At 37.2% G+C, this 21,522-nt stretch overlaps 1 protein-coding gene across 17 annotated transcripts in view, besides 3 other annotated features; it reads left to right on the plus strand.

The window, feature by feature from the left end:
• Nucleotides 1–21,522, plus strand: part of MYO6 (myosin VI) — a 170,299-nt gene that overhangs the window by 66,167 nt on the left and 82,610 nt on the right. For 16 of the 17 annotated variants that reach the window (NR_160538.1, NM_001368865.1, NM_001368866.1 and 13 more), the window contains 6 exons: nt 2,096–2,259; nt 7,377–7,446; nt 13,135–13,208; nt 15,011–15,140; nt 17,437–17,542; nt 20,496–20,551. Coding sequence is in view for 15 of the 17 variants with exons in the window: in NM_001368865.1 (NP_001355794.1) it covers nt 2,143–2,259; nt 7,377–7,446; nt 13,135–13,208; nt 15,011–15,140; nt 17,437–17,542; nt 20,496–20,551 (553 nt within the window). In the remaining 2 variants the exon portion in view is untranslated. Of the gene's footprint in view, nt 1–2,095; nt 2,260–4,367; nt 4,468–7,376; nt 7,447–13,134; nt 13,209–15,010; nt 15,141–17,436; nt 17,543–20,495; nt 20,552–21,522 lie in introns of all 17 variants that reach the window. The other variant, NR_160539.1, reaches the window with a different exon arrangement.
• Nucleotides 4,576–5,076: an enhancer, noted in NCBI's record as "H3K4me1 hESC enhancer chr6:76529698-76530198 (GRCh37/hg19 assembly coordinates)". NCBI's record gives its function as "activates a minimal SCP1, AML or CMV promoter by ChIP-STARR-seq in primed H9 embryonic stem cells {active_cell/tissue: H9 hESC(primed)}" and the evidence as "EXISTENCE:reporter gene assay evidence [ECO:0000049][PMID:30033119]".
• Nucleotides 5,077–5,577: an enhancer, noted in NCBI's record as "H3K4me1 hESC enhancer chr6:76530199-76530699 (GRCh37/hg19 assembly coordinates)". NCBI's record gives its function as "activates a minimal SCP1, AML or CMV promoter by ChIP-STARR-seq in primed H9 embryonic stem cells {active_cell/tissue: H9 hESC(primed)}" and the evidence as "EXISTENCE:reporter gene assay evidence [ECO:0000049][PMID:30033119]".
• Nucleotides 15,713–15,852: a silencer, noted in NCBI's record as "silent region_17343". NCBI's record gives its function as "represses an Ori minimal core promoter by ATAC-STARR-seq in GM12878 lymphoblastoid cells {active_cell/tissue: GM12878}" and the evidence as "EXISTENCE:reporter gene assay evidence [ECO:0000049][PMID:35858748]".

Below are 21,522 nucleotides of genomic sequence, written 5' to 3' on the forward strand. Positions count from 1 at the left end.
AGTAGACAAGTAAACATCTGGGAACTCAGTGGAGGTTTCGGCTAGAGCAACAACTTTGAGCATCACTCATACATAAATGGTATTTAAAGCCATGGGACTAGATATGATTAGGGAAAGAGTATAGATGTATGTGTGGTAATATAAGTCTGAAGTAGTGGTATTGATTCACTTCTATGAAGACTCTTCATCTAATTTGTCAACTTGGAATTGTACATAAACCTGATAGCGTTTGCTGGATAGGGAAAGCAACTCACTTTGTAGCCACTGCATAGACGACATCAACCAACAAGCAAGTTGCAAACATGCCAATAGTTAGCTGCTTTTGAATGAACTGTATGCCAAACGTCCTTGACTTTCATGAAACTACACCTGAGAGCATCCACATGAGGATCCACATTTGAGAATGCCACACAAAAGGAGGATTATGGCACATGAATCAGCTTTTCTTTTTAAATATAGATAAGTAGTGAAAAAATAAGTGCCTGTCAAGATGACATCTGGGATCATTTACCAGATGATCCATTGTTACATTTTAGTCTCATAGCATCCAGGCTCATTAAAACAAAATATTTTGCATGTCACGGATTGTTTTGGCTACTCTTTAGAGACAGATATGAATGTTAAATCTCAGAATGCTAAGTATGAAAGAAACCATACAGGGGTAATGGAAAAATTAGGTTAGAATTCACCTTAGGCAAAAACTGTAAACAATCCAAATATTCATCAACAGAGCAATAGGTGAACAACTGTGGTATAGTCATTCATTGGACTAGTACGCACTACAAGGTTAAATATGTTGAAAGCAAAAACAGTTTGTTGAATGAAAGAAGACAGACATGAAAGAATACATACTGTATGATGTCACTTATATGAAGTTCAGGAATAGGCAGAAACTAACAGAACAGTAGGAATGCCCATGGGGAATGGTTATTGACCAAAAGGAGTCATGAGACAACTGTTTTGTTTTAGAAACAGGGTCTTGTTCTGTCACCCAGAATGGATTGCAGTGATACAGTCATAGCTCACTGTAGCCTCAAGCAGTCCTCCTGCCTCGGCCTCTCAAAGTGTTGGCATTCTAGGCGTAAGCTACCACTCATGACCTTGATTGGAGTGTTTCATAAATGGCTATATCCATTTGTCCATATTCGTCAACTTGTATACTTAGATTTGTACATTTCACTGTATGTCAGTTTTACCTCAGTGGAAAATAAGAAAACAACAAAAATGGCATACTGAGTAGTTCCGTGAGGATGAGCTTCGGGAGCACATCAGTCCATTCTCAGAGAGTGAGGGAAAGTTTCCCAGAGATAATAATCTCTCTTTTTATCCTTTTACTTCCACAGTTGATTTATTTTTTTCAACTCTTAGCTACCTCCCCACAATAATATCTATTCCTATGACTATTTAATTTATTGTGCAAATGCAGAATACTTTAGGGAGCAAAAAGGAGTGCTGGTATAAATTACACTCAACTGGTAAAAACTATCATTGTTTGCTTCTGTTCTAGTCAGAGGGTTGTACTCTACTGCAGTCATACCTGAAGGAAGGCAGTAGTAGAGCAGGTGTACCTGAGGGTGGAACAACCTCTGCTTGGCCTCATCTAAAAGTAGATAAAGGGGGCCGGGCACGGTGGCTCACGCCTGTAATCCCAGCACTTTGGGAGGCCGAGGCAGGCGGATCACGAGGTCAGGAGATCGAGACCATCCTGGCTAACACGGTGAAATCCCATCTCTACTAAAAATACAAAAAATTAGCTGGGTGTGGTGGCAGATGCCTGTAATCCCAGCTACTCGGGAGGCTGAGGCAGGAGAATGGCGTGATCCTGGGAGGCGGAGCTTGCAGTGAGCCAGGATTGTGCCACCGCACTCCAGCCTGGGTGAGAGAGTGAGATTCCGTCTCAAAAAAAAAAAAAAAAAAGTAGATAAAGGGGGCAGAGTTCAGCAAGAGGCAAGGGAGGAGGTGGGGATTTTATGTGGCATGGGCAGATGTGTTTGTTAGTTGGGACTTACATGTGAACTTTTGAAAAAGATACATTATTTGTTTTATATATATTTCAAAACTGATTCATGTTGCTGTATTTGTTCCTTTGAAACAGGTGACAGTGGATAGTGGAAACAGGAGATCGTGGATCCTCCTTCAAAAATGGAGGATGGAAAGCCCGTTTGGGCGCCACACCCTACAGATGGATTTCAGATGGGCAATATTGTGGATATTGGCCCCGACAGCTTAACAATTGAACCCTTGAATCAGAAAGGCAAGGTGAGTTTCTCAGAAAGATGTTGAAATATGATTTCTTTCAAAAATAGGTGTTTTTTTTCACAAGAGTAAGGTCTGTCTTCTTAATGAGGTAGATATTTGGGAAAGCATATTTCTGGTAAGTGAGTCTGTTTTCTCCTGACTTCTTTGATTAAATCAGAGGTATGTGCCCTAGGGAAAAAATGGTGCCCTATGATAAAATCAGATGGAAATTTAGTGAGCCTTTCATTCTTTGTTTTTTTCACATCCCTTTGATCATCCAGTTCTTAGCCTTTCATTCTTAAGAACTAGCTGTATGATAAAATCTAAACAATAATGACATTTTAATTTCTTGTGCCACATTACTAAAGTTATTAGTGTGTCTGTGATCGACATGTCACAAAGTAAAAATATGAAAAGTGAATGTGGAGATATCAGATTTTGCTTTTTTGCCTTAGCTTCTATTATAAAGTCTTTTTTTAAAGTTTTTTGTTCACTTAAAATTATTGCTATCATTTTTGTAATAGATGCTTTAATTCTGTACACATGGTATTTATTTCTTTGCATGCTTAGACATAAACTAGACAGCATTACAAAATGAAAGTCTGAGGGAAAAGTGACTAGGAGTTGTGACTCGTTTACAGAGAAGGCATCATTGTAAATACCTGTTTCAGTCTTCATGGAGACTGATACAGTCTGTTTTTGTGGAACTTCACTCCATTCTCAGAGAGTGAGGGGAAGTTTTCCAGAGGAAATAATCTCTTTTTATTCTTTTGGTTCCACAATTGGTTTATTTTTCAACTCTTAGCTCTCTTAGCACAGTAATATCTTATTCCCATGATAGATGTCCACAATTTTTAGTTTAATAAGTATGCCTGTTAAACAGTTCTTCTGACTAAATTAAATTTTGTAGGTGTCATTTCTGTTTACTTTAGACTGAAAATGTTCATGAATAATTTATATTCTATGATACATGGCTAACTAATGCCATATGACTACCATCCTTCTGGGAACCTTAGAAAAACAAGGTGGATCTCTCATGAGGTCTTTTCACAGAGAAAACTATTCTGTTACTGTAAACAACCCAGGGACTGAAATGCATAATGTATAATGTGCCATGTTAGAGGAGGCCAGTTAAAGATACCCTCAGGACAGGAAAGACAAAGTGTTTCTGGTTTTTCCTCTTATTAGCAGGTACCTATTTGTACTTAAAATTCAGTACATGTTTAAAAAAAAAAGCTCAGTTACTTTACATATTTGAAGGCTTTTGATTTTTGTTTAACATATTTTATAAGCACAGTAAATCAGAAGACCAAAATGAAATTGAGAGTGTATTTCCTAGGTGTTTATATATAGTTGTTATGTATATTTTGTTGTATTCACAGGTGACAAAACAATTCAGTTCAATTATAGAAGAAACTTGATTTAAGTGGATATACTTTTTCATATTTTAAATATTTTAATATGCTTTACACTCTTATTCAGGTACATATGTAGAACCAATAAAAACTGTTTACATTAGGGAGTGATATAAATTTCATGGATCTGTAGATAATTCTGTGAACTAAAGTGTACGTTTTTTCCACAAAGTTTTTTTTGAGGATTAACAAGTTCTCAGAGATTACCTTTAATCTTAATTTTCCTCCCTACTTTCTGATCAGGTTCTTAATAAACATACTGCTGTAATAACCAGACAGTTAAAAAGATCCTTAAGAGAAGCAATCTTTTGCTTAGCTCATTCATTGCCTAGAGATAATCAGCTTCAAAATAATTATTAAGGAATTAAGTACATAAAGGGGTGGACTGGTCATGCACACCTTTGTGCAGTGTGTGCGCAGTGGAAGTACAGTGGAAGTGTAGATGAGGGAGTGAGGAACATGTCTTGATAGCAATGGCTTTTCAAGGTTTTTGTTTGTGACCCATAGTAAAATAGATTTCACATTGCATTAGCTATGTGTATTTATGTGTGTGAATTTATAAGAAATAAATTTTACATTTCAACAACTGTGTGTGTAGTGTTTGTGTGTGTTTACTTATAAATGAAACAGTTGATCAAAAGAAACATTCTTAGCACATGCTATGCATTTTGATAATTTCTAATAACTTTTATTCTTTTAAAAATGCTGTTTTAGGCTAGCTGCAGTGGCTCATGCCTGTAATCCTAGAACTTTGGGAGTCCAAGGAGGGAGGATTGCTTGAGCTCAGGAATTTGAGACTAGCCTGGGCGACATAGTGAGACCTCATCTCTACAAAAAATTTAAAAAATTAGCTGGGTGTGGTGGTACATGCCTGTTTTAGCTACTCTGGTGGCTGAAGTGCACTTAAGCCAGCAGGTCAAGGCTGCAGTGAGCTGTGATTGTGCCACTGCACTCTAGCCTGGGTGACAGAGTGAGATCCTGTCTCAAAAAAAAAGAAAGCTATTTTAATCCACTAAATTGGTTTCATATTCTGTATTTGCAGCAGTGGTAAGAAGCCGCTCTGAAGCCTTGTAGGCTGAAGCCCTAAATTTATGGCATAGAAGGGTCTGCATTTTCTTTTCCCTGTCTGCTTTGCTGGTCTTCTGTTGTGTCAACCAAGTCTCCCCTTCATACTCTTACTCTTGTGTGCCTCTTTCTCCTTCTCTTCTGCAAGTATTAAGTCCTTACCATACCCCAGGTGATGTTATGTGCTTTGTGTCATTGCTAACATTGCTCCTGCCTGGAGTGCCACTATCCATACCTGCTCTTTATTTTATTTATTTATTTTTGAGTTGGAGTTTTGCTATTGTCGCCCAGGCTGGAGTGCAGTGGCATAATCTTGGCTCACTGCAACCTCTGCCTCCCGGGTTTGGGCGATTCTCCTGCCTCAGCCTCCCGAGTAGCTGGGATTACAGGTGCCCACCACCATGTCTGGCTAATTTGTTGTATTTTTAGTAGAGATGGGGTTTCATCATGTTGGCCAGGTTTTTCTCAAACTCCTGACCTCAGGTGATCCACCTGCCTGGGGCTCCCAAAGTACAGGGACTACAGGTGTGAGCCACCGCACCTGGCCAATCTCCATATCCTTTTGCTTAGAAACTACTTATTTTTCTTTTAAGACTCTGATTGAGGTCACCTTGTTTATGAAGTTTTTCTACAGATACCCAATCTCTCCCTCCCCCCCATTCAGTAGAATTGACTGTTGACTACTTTTTCCTTTGAGGAGTGGTATAAATTCTTAGCTTTCCTTTACTCTTTGTTGGAGATAATTGTTTACTTTGTCTCTCCCTCCCTACTAGACTATGTAATCTTCTCAAGTGCAGGGGCTATTTTATTCTGTCATTAGAGCTTGATGCTCTGTATTTGACTTGTGGTAGGTGTTTAATGCTGAGTGATCAAGATATGTTTTTAGCAGAAAAAAGCCTCCTTCTTCTAAGAGAAAACAATTAATGAAACATTTTAAGGAGAGAGGAAGATGGGGTGGTGATAATTTAAAGAATAAAGAAGGAGGGAGAGAAAACACCTTTCAGGACTCCTTACTGGCCTTTTAGCCTGCTCTTAACTTTCTCATTCCAGCAACTCTTTGTCATTGGCCTCCCCTCATCCCCACTCCCCTCATCATCTAACTTCTTGGAACCTTTTTAATTTGACATGGCTCCTACCAGGCAGAGCTAAACCCTGAAGTCTGGGGAGCCCGTAACCCTCTTGCCATGGCTGTGAAAGTTGGGCACATACATATATGACATTAGCAGTTATTTCTGAATGCATTTTCCTATAGAATCATTATTATAAATTGTGGCTTGTTTTATATTACCATTAATATACTTAATGCACATGATGGGTTAATTTTGCTTTTGTGGCCTGTCCTACAAACTTCTCCACATTTATAACATTAACAACATGTGTACTGGGTTCCAAGTAATTAACTTCCAGAGTTTCTATGGCATAACAGTTTTCTACATTGGGTGTGACTTAGAATTGAGGTAGTCCCAGCAGCGTGGATTTTACTCATTATAGTTGTAGCTTTACACACACACACACAAACACACACACACACACCCCTATAAATATTATTTTAAAATAATTGAACCATTTTTCCCTGCAGTTTTCTTTGATACAATTAGAAACTTCAGCCACAAGAGTAATTGTCATTGTTTGAGAAGTACTGTATCAGCTTATAAATAACTGTGAGAATGGCATGGATTAAAATTTAATTCTCTTTGGATGTCATTTGAGATCATTTGTTCTCTCTTATGAGATGTTATCTTAATTCTGCAGTGTTACTCTAGCATTTAAGTGATAAAATAAATATAAGTATTCATGGATACTTGTAATTTTACAGACGAAATATTTTTTGGTATTTTTTATATTTCTGACAGATTTTTGTACAGGAGTTTGTGTCAAATATATTTTACTGAAACAATAGCTATTAATATAACCCTCTGGTTATCTGATTGAATGTTATTTTTTTCTGTCTTTTTTTTTTGAGATGGAATTTTTTTCTGTCTTTTTTTTTTGAGATGGAATTTCACTCTTGTCTTCCAGGGTGGAGTGCAATGGCATGATCTCGGCTCACTGCATCCTCCACCTCCTGGGTTCAAGGGATTCTCCTGCCTCAGCCTCCCCAGTAGCTGGGATTACAGGGGTGCTGCATCACGCCTGGCTAATTTTTGTATTTTTAGTAGAGACGGAGTTCTACCATGTTGGCCAGGCTAGTTTCAAACTCCTGACCTCGGATGATCCACCCGCCTCGGCCTCCCAAAGTGTTGGGATTATAGGCATGAGCCACTGTGCCCGGTTACTTTTTCCTTTTTTAAAACACTGAAATTGCTGTATCTACCACATTAACATTTTATTTAAAAAAATTTGTTAAATAGCATATGTATGTAAATTTAATATTAATATACCTCTTTTTTTGTCCTTCTTTAGGTGTTGGAGCCTAGGATACTTACTTACTGATTTTTATTGTTGATTTCATGTCCACAGTAATAGTAGATAATATTTTTGAGTAAAGTTATTGTTCTGTTTTGGGGTTAATGACTTGTTAAATAGTATTATCTGTATTATATTTTAATAAAGAGCATATTGTTGCCACTATTACAGTGTATGCAACCAATTAAGCCCTTCTATTGTTCTTACTATTTAAAAGCCTTGAGTTTAATGAGCATTTGTTTTGCTTGTTAGACATTTTTGGCTCTCATAAACCAAGTGTTTCCTGCAGAAGAGGACAGTAAAAAAGATGTGGAAGATAACTGTAAGTACCAAGTTAAAAATTAACTCTCCGCACAGAAAAGGAGACTGTTCTTTTAAAAAAATAAATTAGTGGTTATATAACTGATACACTGTGCGGGTTCAGAAACAATCTAGTCTTTTGACATGAATATTCATGTGAATGAAGGAACTCGAGTCCTCCATGTTGTCTCACATTTGCATTTTGGTGAAAGAGTCTTGAGTGTTCTTTTGGTGTTATTTGAGTTGCATAAATGTGGGGAATGGTAATTACTGTAAGGCTTGAACTAAAAGTCTCTTGTTAACAGTTTTGAAAGTTATTGAACCTTATTTAGAGTCAGGTGGTTTTTATTGTAGTATATGTGGTTCAGTAATTTGGAAGTTGAGTCAGTAGGAGTCATTTAACATCACCGTTTGAAGCAAACATGCATTTAAAAAAATTCTATATAATTACTAATTGAAAAATTAATTTCAGAACAATTATATTAAAACACAGCATTAATTTGACTTATAACATCTTTGCATGTTTGATGAAAAAAGCTCTTCTCGATGGAACAGGCCAATGTTTATTCTTACATTTTTAAGATTAAGCAGTAATCATTTCATATTGGGGGCAGCAGTGTTAACAATTATGTACACTTGTCATGGATTTCATTAAAGGTACTTGACACTAACAACTCTCCATTTAACAAAAAAAGGTAGTGTTAACAATTATGTACAGTTGTCAAGGTACCTAATACTAAAAACTCTCCATTTGAGAAGAAAAGGTAAGAGAAAGGAATAGATGTGTTATTATTGATTTTCTCTGGAATTCACATTTGAGTAAGACTATAAAACCCCCATATGTAGAATGGTGGCAGCATAGACTAGTGGGAGTAATGGGGAGCCATGGACTGTAACTGTAGAGTTAGGCAAGCCTAAATTCTGATTCTATGTTGTTAGGAGGCTGTCTGCTCGTGGGCATTTCGTCTCTCTTCTGAAATTCTCATCTGTAGAATGGAAGTAATGTGTATGTTGTATGATTAGAGATGATATAAAGTGCTTTGCACAGCATCTAATGACTCTTAATAAATGGTAGCTGTTTTTATTAGGTGCAAGAGATTGAGGAAAAAAATGTAGAATTCCCTTCCTTTCCAAAATTGCTGGAGAGTTTGTCTGATTAAATAATACATTTTTGAATAGCAATCAGAATAAAATAATAAGGAATGAGACTGTACCATATCTAAAATACAAATTTTTGTGCTGTTAAAACTTGCTAGGGTGTGCAGAACTGGGAATCAATCCTTTTCATTTATTAATGTGTATGTCTCTAAATGTGACAAATGGTTTTGAATAGTTTTTAATCCATTTCTTAAATTAATATTTTAAAACATTCTCTCTCCATTTGCTTTGTCTTGCTATGCTTGTCTAACTTACAAATTTTTGCAACCTCAGTATTTGCTGCCTCTGGCAGGTGGTTTCCTTGGTGATGCCAGATGGCAGCAGTGTTAATGTGTGGGTGTTAACTATTCTCATAAGATAGTAGCCCATCCCTACTGAAGACACTTTTCTGAAACCACATTATTAACACAACTTTGGTTGTTGAGTTTAGAATGTAGGGTTTCCAGCTGCAGTGGTTCTGTCACTTAGTACTTTCATCTGAGGCATGCCACCATACCACTGTCCTCTGCTGAATGACACACTGTAACACAAAGCTATAGTGGTAGCTTTGTGTTATACACTTGCACACACACACACATGCACACACACACAGGGTCTCACATGCATATTTCTAAAATTCTTTTCTTCTTTATATTATGGTAATGTGAAGATTAAATGATTGATGCCTGTAGAGAGTGTTCTGAAGTATGTGTTGAAGGTTCTACTGAAACAGAAGTAGTGCCTTAACAGTGCCTTAACAGTGTAGCAACACTTATTACCTACTTTTCGGTCTAAATTTTTTTTTTTTTTTTTGAGACAGTCTCGCTCTGTCACCCAGACTGGAGTGCAGTGGTGTGATCTCAGCTCACTGCAACCTTCGCCTCCCGGGTTCCAGCAATTCTTCTGCTTCAGCCTTCTGAGTAGCTGTGACTACACGTGTGCACCACCATGTCCAGCTAATTTTTGTATTTTTAGTAGAGATTGGGTTCACTATGTTGGCCAGGTTGGTCTCAAACTCCTGACCTCAGATGATCTGCCTGCCTTGGGCTCCCAAAGTGCTGGGATTATAGGCGTAAGCCACTGCACCGAGCTATAGCTCTGAGTTTTCTATGTGAAGGGTTTTATATGTAGAAATTAGTATGTTAATTTTGCTGTTTGACTGTTGCTTATTGTCACAAGAATAGGAAAATTGGGCGTGTGAAGTCAGTAATTAAAAGGAAAATAATAGCATTTTTCCATGCTGATTTTGAGCTACCATGACTTTCATGGCACATAATGTTCTTCGTGAATTATTGTCTATTAGATGTTGATAATAATAAAGTATAGAGTATAAAATTGGAAAGAAACCGGGCGCAGTGGCCCACTCCTGTAATCCCAGCACTTTGGGAAGCTGAGATGGGTGGATCACCTGAGGTCAGGACTTTGAGACCAGCCTGGCCAACATGGTGAAACCCTGTCTCTACTAAAAGTACAAAAATTAGTTGAGCATGGTGGTGGGCGCCGGTAATCCCAACTACTTGGGAGGCCGAGGCAGGAGACTCCCTTGAACCCAGGAGGCGGAGATTGCAGTGAGCCGAGATCACGCTGTTGCACTACAGCCTGGGTGACAAGAGTGAAGCTCTGTCTCTAAATAATAAATAAATAAAATTGGAAAGAATTCTAAAAGTTGCCTCAGTCTCTTTTTCTGTAATGGAATGACTTCTACAACAACATATATTTAGAATTGATTGACTTCTGTGTTGAAGTTGTTTGTGGGTTCTTTTTTTCTTTTAGTGAGCCAGAGCTGTAATGATTAAACAGGATCTTAAATGCTCAGATAACTCTCTAGTCAGATATCTAAATTTAATAATGAAGTCATACCTAATCTTCATTAGAAACTTTTGTATATGTTATATATTTATTTATTAAAACAGTGTTTATAAAGAAACTAATTGTTTATTCAAATATTTTGTTATATGTCTTATGTTAAATTGTTTCAAAATTTTAATATTCTTTTGGGTATAGTTAAATCTGTTAATAATTAGGCATAAAAGGTAAACAGTTTACATAAAGAGTTGCATGTAAATAGCCAAGCCAAGTAATCCTAGGACTGACTACTAGGAAAGGACAGGAGGAAGGAATTATTTGGTAGAGCAGGAAGTTATTTGTGAGGCCCTTGTGGACATACCTAGGTCATACCTTTAGGGAGATGTAGGCAGTTGGGACTTAGCATTTCACATTCTGGCAAGACAGGGTTGCAAATATTTTCCTCTCCCTCTCTCTTTTTCTGTGTCTTCTTGAAAATGGAATGGCCTGTGTGGCATGATTTCAGAGGAATACCCTCCTGTCCAAATTCTTATTGTCATCAGCAGATACTTCATCAGTTAGGAATTTATTTGGTTTAATAAACACACATCCCTGAAAAGGTAGGTGGTGAGTGTGGAAGGAGTAAAGATAGGAGAGCAAGTAGTAATTCCCATGTCTGTGTAGGCTTATATGATTAGCGTTCACAGGGGAAGCGTACTGTAGGATTACGAGTTTTTACTTAGAGGAAGCAGTGACAACATCATGCAACCAGGTATTTCAGAGGAAAGTGAGAGAGATGGGGAGTGGTTCAACAGAGTGCTTTGGGTAAAGAAAGAGGAACGTGTAGACCAGGCTCCAGGGGACAAGGATGGAAGATTAGGGATATAGAAAGGTAGGTGACCTCATACCCAAACCAGATATATTAATACCTCTGCTGCCTAACCCTCTCTATATCCTTCCTTAATTCAAAGGAAAGCTGCCATTCAGCTGTTAGGAGCCTCTACCCACTTCTTACTCTCTTTTATTCTGCCCTAAGTGGCACTAGAAAGCAGTGAGGTGACTGAGGCAGGAGAATCGCTTGAACCCAGGAGGTGGAGGTTACAGTGAGCTGAGATCGTGCCACTGCACTCCAGCCTTGGCAACAGAGTGAGATTTTGTCTCAAAAAAAGAAAAAAAAAAGCAGTGAGGTGAAAGTGAACTGGCTGCATTAAATGATTATAGATGGATGGGCAGTCTGTGGAGGTAGTTATGGCAAGAGGCTCTTGTTTGACACCATTGGTTAGGTGTTGAATAGTATGTTAGACATACATGCAGTGTAGGCACATGAGCAGTTTCAATGAGGGATCAAACAAATGAATCAGGCAGCATCTTGCCCCCAAGGATCTGATTTAGTAGACAAAACCAGATATGTAAAATTATCATAATAACACTGGCAGTGTGTGGTAAGAACCATAAAGAAATTGCAAAGATAGTAGTTGTAGTGGTGGTGGTGAGAATGGGTAAGTGTCATTTGTAGGGTAACCTTTGTACTGACCTTAAAGAGTAGGTAGGTTTTTGACACCTAGAAATGTAGAGGATATTCTACATGGAAGCCGATAGATGAATGATACCTGCATCTAATAAATAGTTCAGTCTGTCTATGAGTTAGTATTAAGGTGAATTGTGGAAAATTATATGAAAAGGTCATGAATGTAGGTTTATTAAGAGCTCTGATCAGACATGAATTTGGATGTTGATAGAGACCCAGTGATGATTTTATGGGGAGAGAGATTTGATGAGGGCTCTACTTTAGTTAATGTGCTGAGAAGTCTGGATTAGAGAGGAGAGAGACTGAGGCAATAGGTAAATAAGAGGCTACCATGATCACAAAAGAGGTAATGAGAACTAAACTGGTATTGGAGCAGTAGAAATGGAAAGAAAGGAGATAGGTTGAGAGATTCAGATTATGCTTTGAGTACCTGCCATGAGCTGGCACTGTGCTGTACTTTCTTACATGGCATAAAGATTTGGAAACTGGTTTAGAATAAGGAGGGAGAGAGAAGATGATTTTAGTGTTGACTAAGGTTTACAATTTCAGTGACAGAGAAAATGGTGGTGCTAATAACAGAAACAAGGTGGTTGAGAAGAGGAGTGGTTTTTGTCTACTCTAGCAAGGCATAGAAATGGAGCTCAGGAGATTGAAGGACTTGGAGAATAGATTGGGAGTCAGTTCTGACACTTCAGTAGAGCAGATGTCACACAAACAAGATTTATCTGTTCAAACTCTCCCATTAATTAGCTTCATATTCTCAGTTAAGACATACATAATTTCTCTAGGAGTCTTCATTATGTCAGTTGTGAAGGACTCCCTGAATGATTTGATGGTCTGTTCCCATTCTAAAATTTTATCTTTTGTGTTTTATCTGTGAAATTCTGAGTATCAGATTGGATTGGTGTCATCACTTTGTTGTGTCAGAAGTATATTAAAATCAGAGCTATCTATTGTAGTACTTTTTTCCCTCTTGAATTGTGCTTTTTAATCAACCTTCATTAATGAGTACTCACTAGGTTTACTCTTTTAGTTGAAAATTCATTACTTAAAAATATCACTGTAACACACATGTAAACTGAATCGCTTTTAAATCAGCTTCTAGGGTTTACATCAGCCAGGGTTTTAAAAAAGATGGAGTTAAATGTAACCTAACAATTGATTTTTAGGATGAGTCAAAGTGATTCAGATTAAGATAGTATTGCTTTATTTTATTTGTTTTCTTCAATTCTCTAATGACATATAAATTTTATGTCTTAGGTTCACTAATGTATTTAAATGAAGCCACACTGCTCCATAATATCAAAGTTCGATATAGTAAAGACAGAATTTATGTAAGTATTTTACCTGTAGTGTAAGTTTTTGTGGAGATAATTATTTCATGTGGTACTCTTTGATTTTGTCACGCTTGAAATTGTCTAACAGAAAATCATGCTTGATCTGAGCCTCTTGAATAGAGTGTGAGGTTAGTGAGGACAAAGATTTTTTTCTAATTTACAACTCGAACTCTAGGAGTTAAAGCATGCCTGGTACACAGAAAGCACTTAATCAGTATTTGTGGGATGAAATAATGAATTCAGAGTGTCGTTTAATATCTTTTGGACTTAAAAATGTCCAGTTTGAGTATTTTTAAAAGCACTGTAATGGTTTTTGGTTTTGATTTTTGACTTCTGGTATGTCTGTAGATATGTTTGATTCACTTTCCACATTGTTTGGAAGACAATGTAAGGCAGCCTATAAGGAATGTATATTGAAATTAAAAATTTGAATGAGGAAAAAAATGTAAATCAGAATAGGAGGTAGTATCTGAGGAAATACTAAGAACACAGGAATGCTGACCATAGAGCCTAAATAGTTGCTGAATTTCATTAGACCGTAGGTACTCTACCTTGAAAGTCCAGAATATTCAAAAATGAAAGAAAATGCTTTCAGTGTAAATAGTCAAGGTTTACACCAAATCATTCAGATGGATACTTAACCTAGTATGTTTTAATTATAATTATTCTTTGGGCATGCATGAGACTTTATTCCAGTATCACCTAACTGTGTAGTCCTTTGGTGACTGGAGATAAATTACCCCACTGTAGTTCTCCTGTTATAAAGATGGGGCTGTTCATTATTTTTGAACGAAGAAAACACATGGCTTCTTTGACACTTACTAGATCAAATGACAGTCTTAATCTATTATATCACTATCAGTTTGCCTAATTGTACTTACTTAATTCTGACTAAATTACATTTAGTCTCTGCCATCTGTCCAAGTAGTGACAGCTGGGAGATAGAACTTATTTATTCTATTCCAAAAGAGTATACTTGCCATCTTCTAGTTATATGTAGTTTTAAGACTTTTCTCCCTGATTTTTTCAAAATCAACTAAATAAAGAACATATTTAAGTTTAAATGTGGCTATTCTTGATTAGAAATATATTTAGAGGCAAAATTTACTCAATCAGCTGACTCATGTTGAGTATCTAATATGTGCTAAATTCCAAAATTAAAAGCAAGCTTAAGTTGCTCATTAAACATTTAACCCATAAATGTTCTAGGCAATGGTTAACATATATTGTTTGGAAGAAATCTGGGACCAAATGGTCACTACAGAGCTAAATCAATCCTTGGCATTCAGTGATAGGGATGGGCCCAGAAGGTGCTACGAGCTGTATTAAACTCCTTAGTAGCAGGGTGAATACAGTAGGTAAGGAATACAAATGACTAAAACTTAGCGGTAGGAGATTTCATAAGTAGAGTCAACAGGAGAAGGCTGAATGAGATAGAGCTAGAGACTCAGATTTCTGTCTGTGGTGACTTGGTGGTGATGCCATGTCCCTGAGGAAGCACATGGAAGGATAATATTTTCTTTGAGGCAGAGGTAGGTGGGAAGAGATAATCTTGAGTTTGGATATGCCGAACTAAAGGTGCCTATGGGTTGGTAAGATACAAATATTTATTAAGAATTGGAGAAATATGGGTCCCTATAAAGATCAGGGAATACTCAGGGAATATTTAGGACTGATTTGGGAGTCTTAGTTATATAGATAATTGAAATTTTTTGTATTTTATTTTTTCTATGAGCTTTGTTTATCTTTAAATGAAAATAGTAATTGGAATATTTTATGTTTATGCTTTTCGTATTTAGACATATGTCGCCAACATTCTGATTGCAGTGAATCCATACTTTGACATACCTAAAATATATTCTTCAGAAGCAATAAAGTCATATCAAGGAAAATCTCTTGGGACAAGACCACCTCATGTCTTTGCAATTGGTAAGTGATTTTAAATGTATTTTAATTCTTGTCTTTCTTTATATTGTACAAATTTACTCAATTTTTCTTTTGGATTAATAAAAGATACCATAAATTGAATATATATTTTGGAGAAACTGTATACCTCTTGGATATATCAACATTGTTAGGAGCAAGTATTTTACACAGGGTGAGGAAGAATACTTTTGTAGTCAACTAATGGGGCAGGCTTACCATACATCATTATCTGTGTTAAATGCCTGTGTCCTCTAAGAGATGTCTGCCCAGGTGAAAGCAGGATATAATAAAAGCTGACCTAATGGTACTTTTAGACTTTTTAATACCATCAGCTCCATCTTAAAATTGTCCTCCTTCACAATTTTGAGGTTCTGGCCTTCATCTCTTACCCAGCTCATCCCTTATGAGTGTGTTACTTGGGCTAGATTTCAGCTGTAAGAGCAGACTTCTGGGCATCATCTTGCATCAGGGGTTTATAAAATTAAAGGATTAAAAGTAGTATATGCTTCATACCACTGGAGAATCTATGTGGGAAGACAGTAGTGTCTCTTTGCCTTTCTCAGCCTCTTTTATTTTGAAGTCCTCCAGCTCTGAGTCATAGAGGTTGGAGGTTTTAGATCAGAATGAGCAATTACCCCTCTTCCCACCAAATGCGGAGGTGTTAGCTAACCCTTTGCATTCAGACATAAAGCAGCTAAATGACATGTATTGGAACTAGTTCGTAGTGCATCCTGTTTCTCTTTGGGCTTTCCCTTCATGCTTGTGTTTTGGCCTAACCAGAGTTCACTTCCAGATTTGGTTGACCTGTATGTTGTCTGCTACTAGGTAGAGTGAATATGGCTGACATAATTACTCTACCAGGGCAGCAGCAGATTTACTTTTGGCTTGAAGAAGCTATGACAGGCATCGTTGTGTTGCAGCCTGCAAAACGGTGCCCCATCCCTTAGAACCTGAATACGAGCAAACATCACTGGAGAAAAGTTACATGTTTAAAATGTAAATAAACTAGCTTTTATTTTTAGCTTTTTACTGCGAAAAAACAAGTGTTTGGAATGATTCTTTAAAAATGTGTGGAGGATGGGTGTGGTGGCTTATGCCTGTAATCCAAGCACTTCGGGGAGGGCGGATCGCTTGAGCCTGGGAAGTCAAGACCAGCCTGGGCAAACATGCAAAATCTTGTCTCTATAAAAAAAATGAAAAAATTAGCCGGGCATGTGCTTGCCTATAGTCCCAGCTACTCTGGAGGCAGTGGTGGGAAGATCGCTTGAGCTCAGGAGATCGAGGCTGCAGTGAGGTGAAGTCATGCCACTATACTTCAACCTGGGTGACAGAGAGATACCCTGTCTCAAAAAAAAAAAAAAAGAAAAAAGCGCTGCTGATAAATTGGACAAAGGGATGTGTGCGCTCTTGTATATGGTTTGCATTCTCCCCTTAGAGTAAAAGCCGTTTCTGAAGTCTTCTTGGCACATGTCTGAGGTGAGAAATAGTTGTCTTATAGAGCCAAATTGTGATGACCTAGTTTTGAATTAAAGTTGTCTTAATTTGAGACTGCTTTAACAGCATTAAATTGCTTTCAACTTGTCTGTGTAGTCTTAACATTTAATACAGTTTATAGCCTAAATTGTTGGAGTCTAATGAAGATAGTTAAAAAATATATATGTAAACAGAGGCAAATCTAGGAAATTTAAAGCTGTTAATTTTGCCTAGTTGTAAAATGTTGACAAATTGTAAATTTAATAGTTGTATTAGAGGAAAAAACCCCACAGATATAATCTAGGAAATTTAAAGCTGTTAATTTTGCCTAATTGTAAAATGTTGACAAATTCTAAATTTAATAGTTGTATTAGAGAAAAAAACCCAAGTTGCCATTATGTATTTTTTTTTCCAGCTGAATTTTTGGTTGCTAGATTTCTTAATTGGAAGCTCATTAATTCTTGCTTTTCACTGGGGACTTCATTAGTTATGCATAGTGACCATTTTTTTAATCCCTCTGCAGATCAGCTCTGGAATTAGGAAGAGATGAGCCACAGCCCATAATATCAAGACATTCTGTCAGAAACTTAAGAGTTGTTTATTTGGATTTCATATTACTTAACTTTTAGGATAATAAGATAGAACATTTAAAGTAAATACTTTTAAAATGATTTGAACACTTTTGAATGACTTTATTTTAAAATTTCATTAACATTGAATAGACATTTATGATTTCTTTAAGAGTAAGTGGTCCTAAAGTGAACTTTCTATTATTAACTTTATATTTAATATATTGCTCATCATTAATGTCTTATTTTGACCCTAGCTGATAAAGCTTTTCGAGACATGAAGGTGCTCAAGATGAGTCAGTCTATCATTGTATCTGGAGAATCAGGAGCCGGCAAAACAGAAAATACAAAATTTGTTCTAAGGTGAGTATTCAGCTAACTTGAAGTATTTGAGTAGGTTGATCTTTTTTTTCCCCCCTTGAGATAGGGTCTTACTGTGTCACCCAGGGTGGAATGCAGTGTCACCACCACAGCTCACTGTAGCCTTGACCTCCTGGGCTCAAGCCACTGTTCCACCTCATTCTCCCGAATGGCTGGGACTATAGGCACATGCCACCATGCCCTGCTAATCTTTTACTTTTTTTGTAGAGATGAAGTCTTACTGTGTTGCCTAGGCTGGTTTCGAATTTCTGGGCTGGGCTTGAGCAACCCTCCTGCCTTGGCCTCCCAAAATGCTGGGATTATAGGCATGAACCACCATGCTTGGCAACCAGGTTGACTTTTTTCTGGTAAAAAAATACTTAAGTAAAAGTTGTCAACCATTTCTAAGTGTATAGCATAGTAGCATTAAGTATATTCACGTTGTTGTGCAGCCAATCTGTACCATCTCCAGAACTTTCATCTTGGAAAACTAAAACTTGACCCATGCAACAACAACTCCATTTATCCACTCACCTAGCAACCACCATTCTACTTTCCAGTTTTTCTGTGAATTTAACTACTTTAGCTATTTCTCATGTAAGTGAAATTACACAGTATTTGTCTTTCTGTGACTGGCCTATTTTATTTAACTCAACTTAAGATTCATCCATGTTGTAGTATGTGTCAGAATTTCCTTCCTTTTATTTTTATTTTTTAGTATTTTGGATCCCATCCTTCCTTTTTAAGGCTGAATACTATTTTATTGTAGATCTGTGGTACATTTTGTTTATCCATGCATTTGTCAATGGACATTTAGGTTACTTCCACCTCTTGGCTATTGTCAATAGTGCTGTTATGAACATGGGTGTGCAAATATTTCTTTGAGAATTTGAAAAGGTTGACTTTTAATACCTTTGCATACTTCATGACATAGTTTGGAATGGTGGGCTCTATCCTTTTTAAGATACAGACATCTTATATGGAAGCTAGTCTATAGATTACTGAAAGCCAGCTCTGACATGTTATTCACACGAGGATCTTGGAGGATACTGGTACTGGTTAGACAAAGGGTGATCTAGAAATATTCCTTAAGAATCTCACATTTACGTTCTGTCTATATTTCTGTTGTTAGCATGGTTAAAACCATTTTTTACCTTAAGCTTACGATAATTTGCCTCCTTATTTCTATTTCCCTATAGTCTGCCTCCTAATGTGTTCTCTTTGCTGCCATTAAATTAAACTCTCTGCATTGTGTTTTTTTGTTTGTTTGTTTGTTTGGTTTGGTTTGTTTTTTTTTGAAAACAGGGTCTTGCTCTGTTGCCCAGTCACCCAGGCTGTAGGGCAGTGGTGCAATCATAGCTCACTGCATCCTCGACCTCCTGGGGCCAAGTGATCCTCCTACCTCAGCCTCCCAAGTAACTGGGACCCACAGGCATGTGCCACCATCCTGGCTAATTTTTTATTTTTTTGTAGAGACAGGGTTATGCTATGTTGTCCAGGCTGGTGTCCAGCTCCTGGACTCAAGTGATGCTCCCACTTTGACCTCCTAAAGTGCTGGGATTACAGGCATGAGCCACCATGCCTGGCCTTACACTTTGTTTAGAATTATAGCATTTTAAAAATGGAAGGAATCATAACACTCATTGTAGTATAGTTCTTTTAATTTACATACCCATGAGGTTAGATCTAGTGGTTGAACTACTGCTAGGAGCAGCATACTCACCAGTGTTACTCCCACAGAATTATAGTTCTTAGTTGATTGCTGCATAGTGGTACTATGAAAGTTTGCTATTCATTATGTAAATATGTATGCTGTTCAGAGTTATTTATGTAAAATCAATTGAAGAGTTTGTTAACAGCTGTTATATATATGTGTATATATACATACACACAATTCTGGTTAAGTGAATGCTTCCCAGTATTCTTGGATTCTAAGTGTTTCAATTTCTTTTTCTTTCTTTCCTGTATGTAATAGTCTATATGAGTCTATGGTTAATGTATGAAAATGAACAAAAAGTTAAGGAGTTATAAACTTATAATATGAACTTACATTTTAAATTAAGGATTGCTCTTTATTTTGAAATGTGCCAGGCAAATAGTTATTTCTCTGTGTTTCATATTTCAGTGAAACAACATGAATAGTGATAACTTCCCAGTTGTTCGGAGGCAGATTGCCTCATTTTCTGTAGCCAAAGATTGAATTAATAGGCTCTCACAAAAGGCTTTGACATCTCCTATAGTTTATGAATATGATATATTTAAAATCAAATAGTTGGATAAAATCAGAACATTCCCAAAACAATTTAAAAAACAATGTCAATTAGATGTTAAATGCAATACAAATAGAATTTATTTTTCATTTTTATAATTTCAACATTTAGATTCAGGCCACACATGTGCAGGTTTGTTATGAGTATATTTTGTGACACAGAGGTTTGGGGTGTGAATGATCTCATCATTGAGGTAATGAGCATAGTACCACCAAATATATATATATATTTTTTTGAAACGGAGTCTCACTCTGTCGCCCAGGCTGGAGTGCAGTGGTGCAGTTTTGGTTCACTGCAACCTTGGCCTCCCAGGTTCAAGCGATTCTCCTGCCCCAGCCTCCTGAGTAGCTGGGATGACAGGCGCATGCCAGCATGCCTGGCTAATTTTTTGTATTTTAGTAGAGAAGGGGTTTCACCATGTTGGCCAGGCTGGTCTCGAACTCCTGACCTCAGGTAATCCACCCTCCTTGGCCTCCCAAAATGCTGGGATTACAGGCATGAGCCACCACACCTGACCCCAAATAGAATTTTAAATAAATTTAAAAAGCTATGACAGAATAGTTGCATTTAATTACACATTTGTTATAATGATGATCTAGGTTTCAGTTTTATATGTACTAGATAATTATAAATTATTGTACACCATATTATTGTCATCAACATTTTTTATCCTATATTTTAAACAGATACCTGACTGAATCCTATGGAACAGGTCAAGATATTGATGACAGAATTGTTGAAGGTATTGCTAATTTTTCAGTTGTTACGCGTGTACTGAAATTAATTTACAAGACTTCTTTTAGTGGTCTGGAATGTTCTTCTCTCAGAGATGCAAAAGACTCTCTTATCTCCTACTAATCATTGCTCATATATCATCTTGTTATTTACCTAATATCAATTGTTTCTGCCCCCACCCGCACCTCATGAAAACACTAAGAAGGCAGGGATTTTTGTTTCATATTCCAAACCCTTAGAATGGTAACTGATACAGAGCATAAATATCTGTTGAATGAATGAAAGAATACAGGAATGTCTTTAGCTTCCAGTTTGTTTTATGGAGCTTGTTTTGTGTAAAGGAAAGAGGAAGAAGGGTTATTTGGCATTAGGTGCTTTTTTAGAGAAGTCATTTTTTAACGAAGGCCGTAGTGTGTAAATTGATTTCCTTAAGCTATCCATGCTTGTATACCTTCTTAGAAAGTCTTCTTGTACCTCAGTTTGGAGACTGCTGGCCTAGACTACCATTATGTTGAATCTCCTGCATGATGCCCTCCTGCATCATAGACTCCTGTTTTGTCTCTTCACTTAGATTCTTACTTCTCCTTAATCCAGTCTCTGTATAGAATTTGGAATAATTTCTTTTTCTTTTTCTTTTCTTTTTTTTTTTTTGAGGTGGAATCTCACTCTGTCACCCAGGCTGGAGTGCAGTGGCTTGATCTTGGCTCACTACAACCTCTGCCTCCTGGGTTCAGGTGATTCTCCTGCCTCAGCCTCCCGAGTAGCTGGGATTACAGGCGCCCACCACCACATCTGGCTAATTTTTGTATTTTTAGTAGAGATGGGGTTTCACCATGTTGGCCAGGCTGGTCTTGAACTCTTGACCTCAAGTGATCCACCCGCCTTGGCCTCCCAGAATGTTGGGATTATAGGGGTGAGCCACCGCGCCCAGCTGGAATAATTTCTTTTGCTTTAAATAATCTGATGGCTTCATATTGC

The sequence above is a fragment of the Homo sapiens genome, chromosome 6, assembly GCF_000001405.40.
Source record: "Homo sapiens chromosome 6, GRCh38.p14 Primary Assembly".
Lineage (NCBI taxonomy): Eukaryota > Metazoa > Chordata > Mammalia > Primates > Hominidae > Homo > Homo sapiens.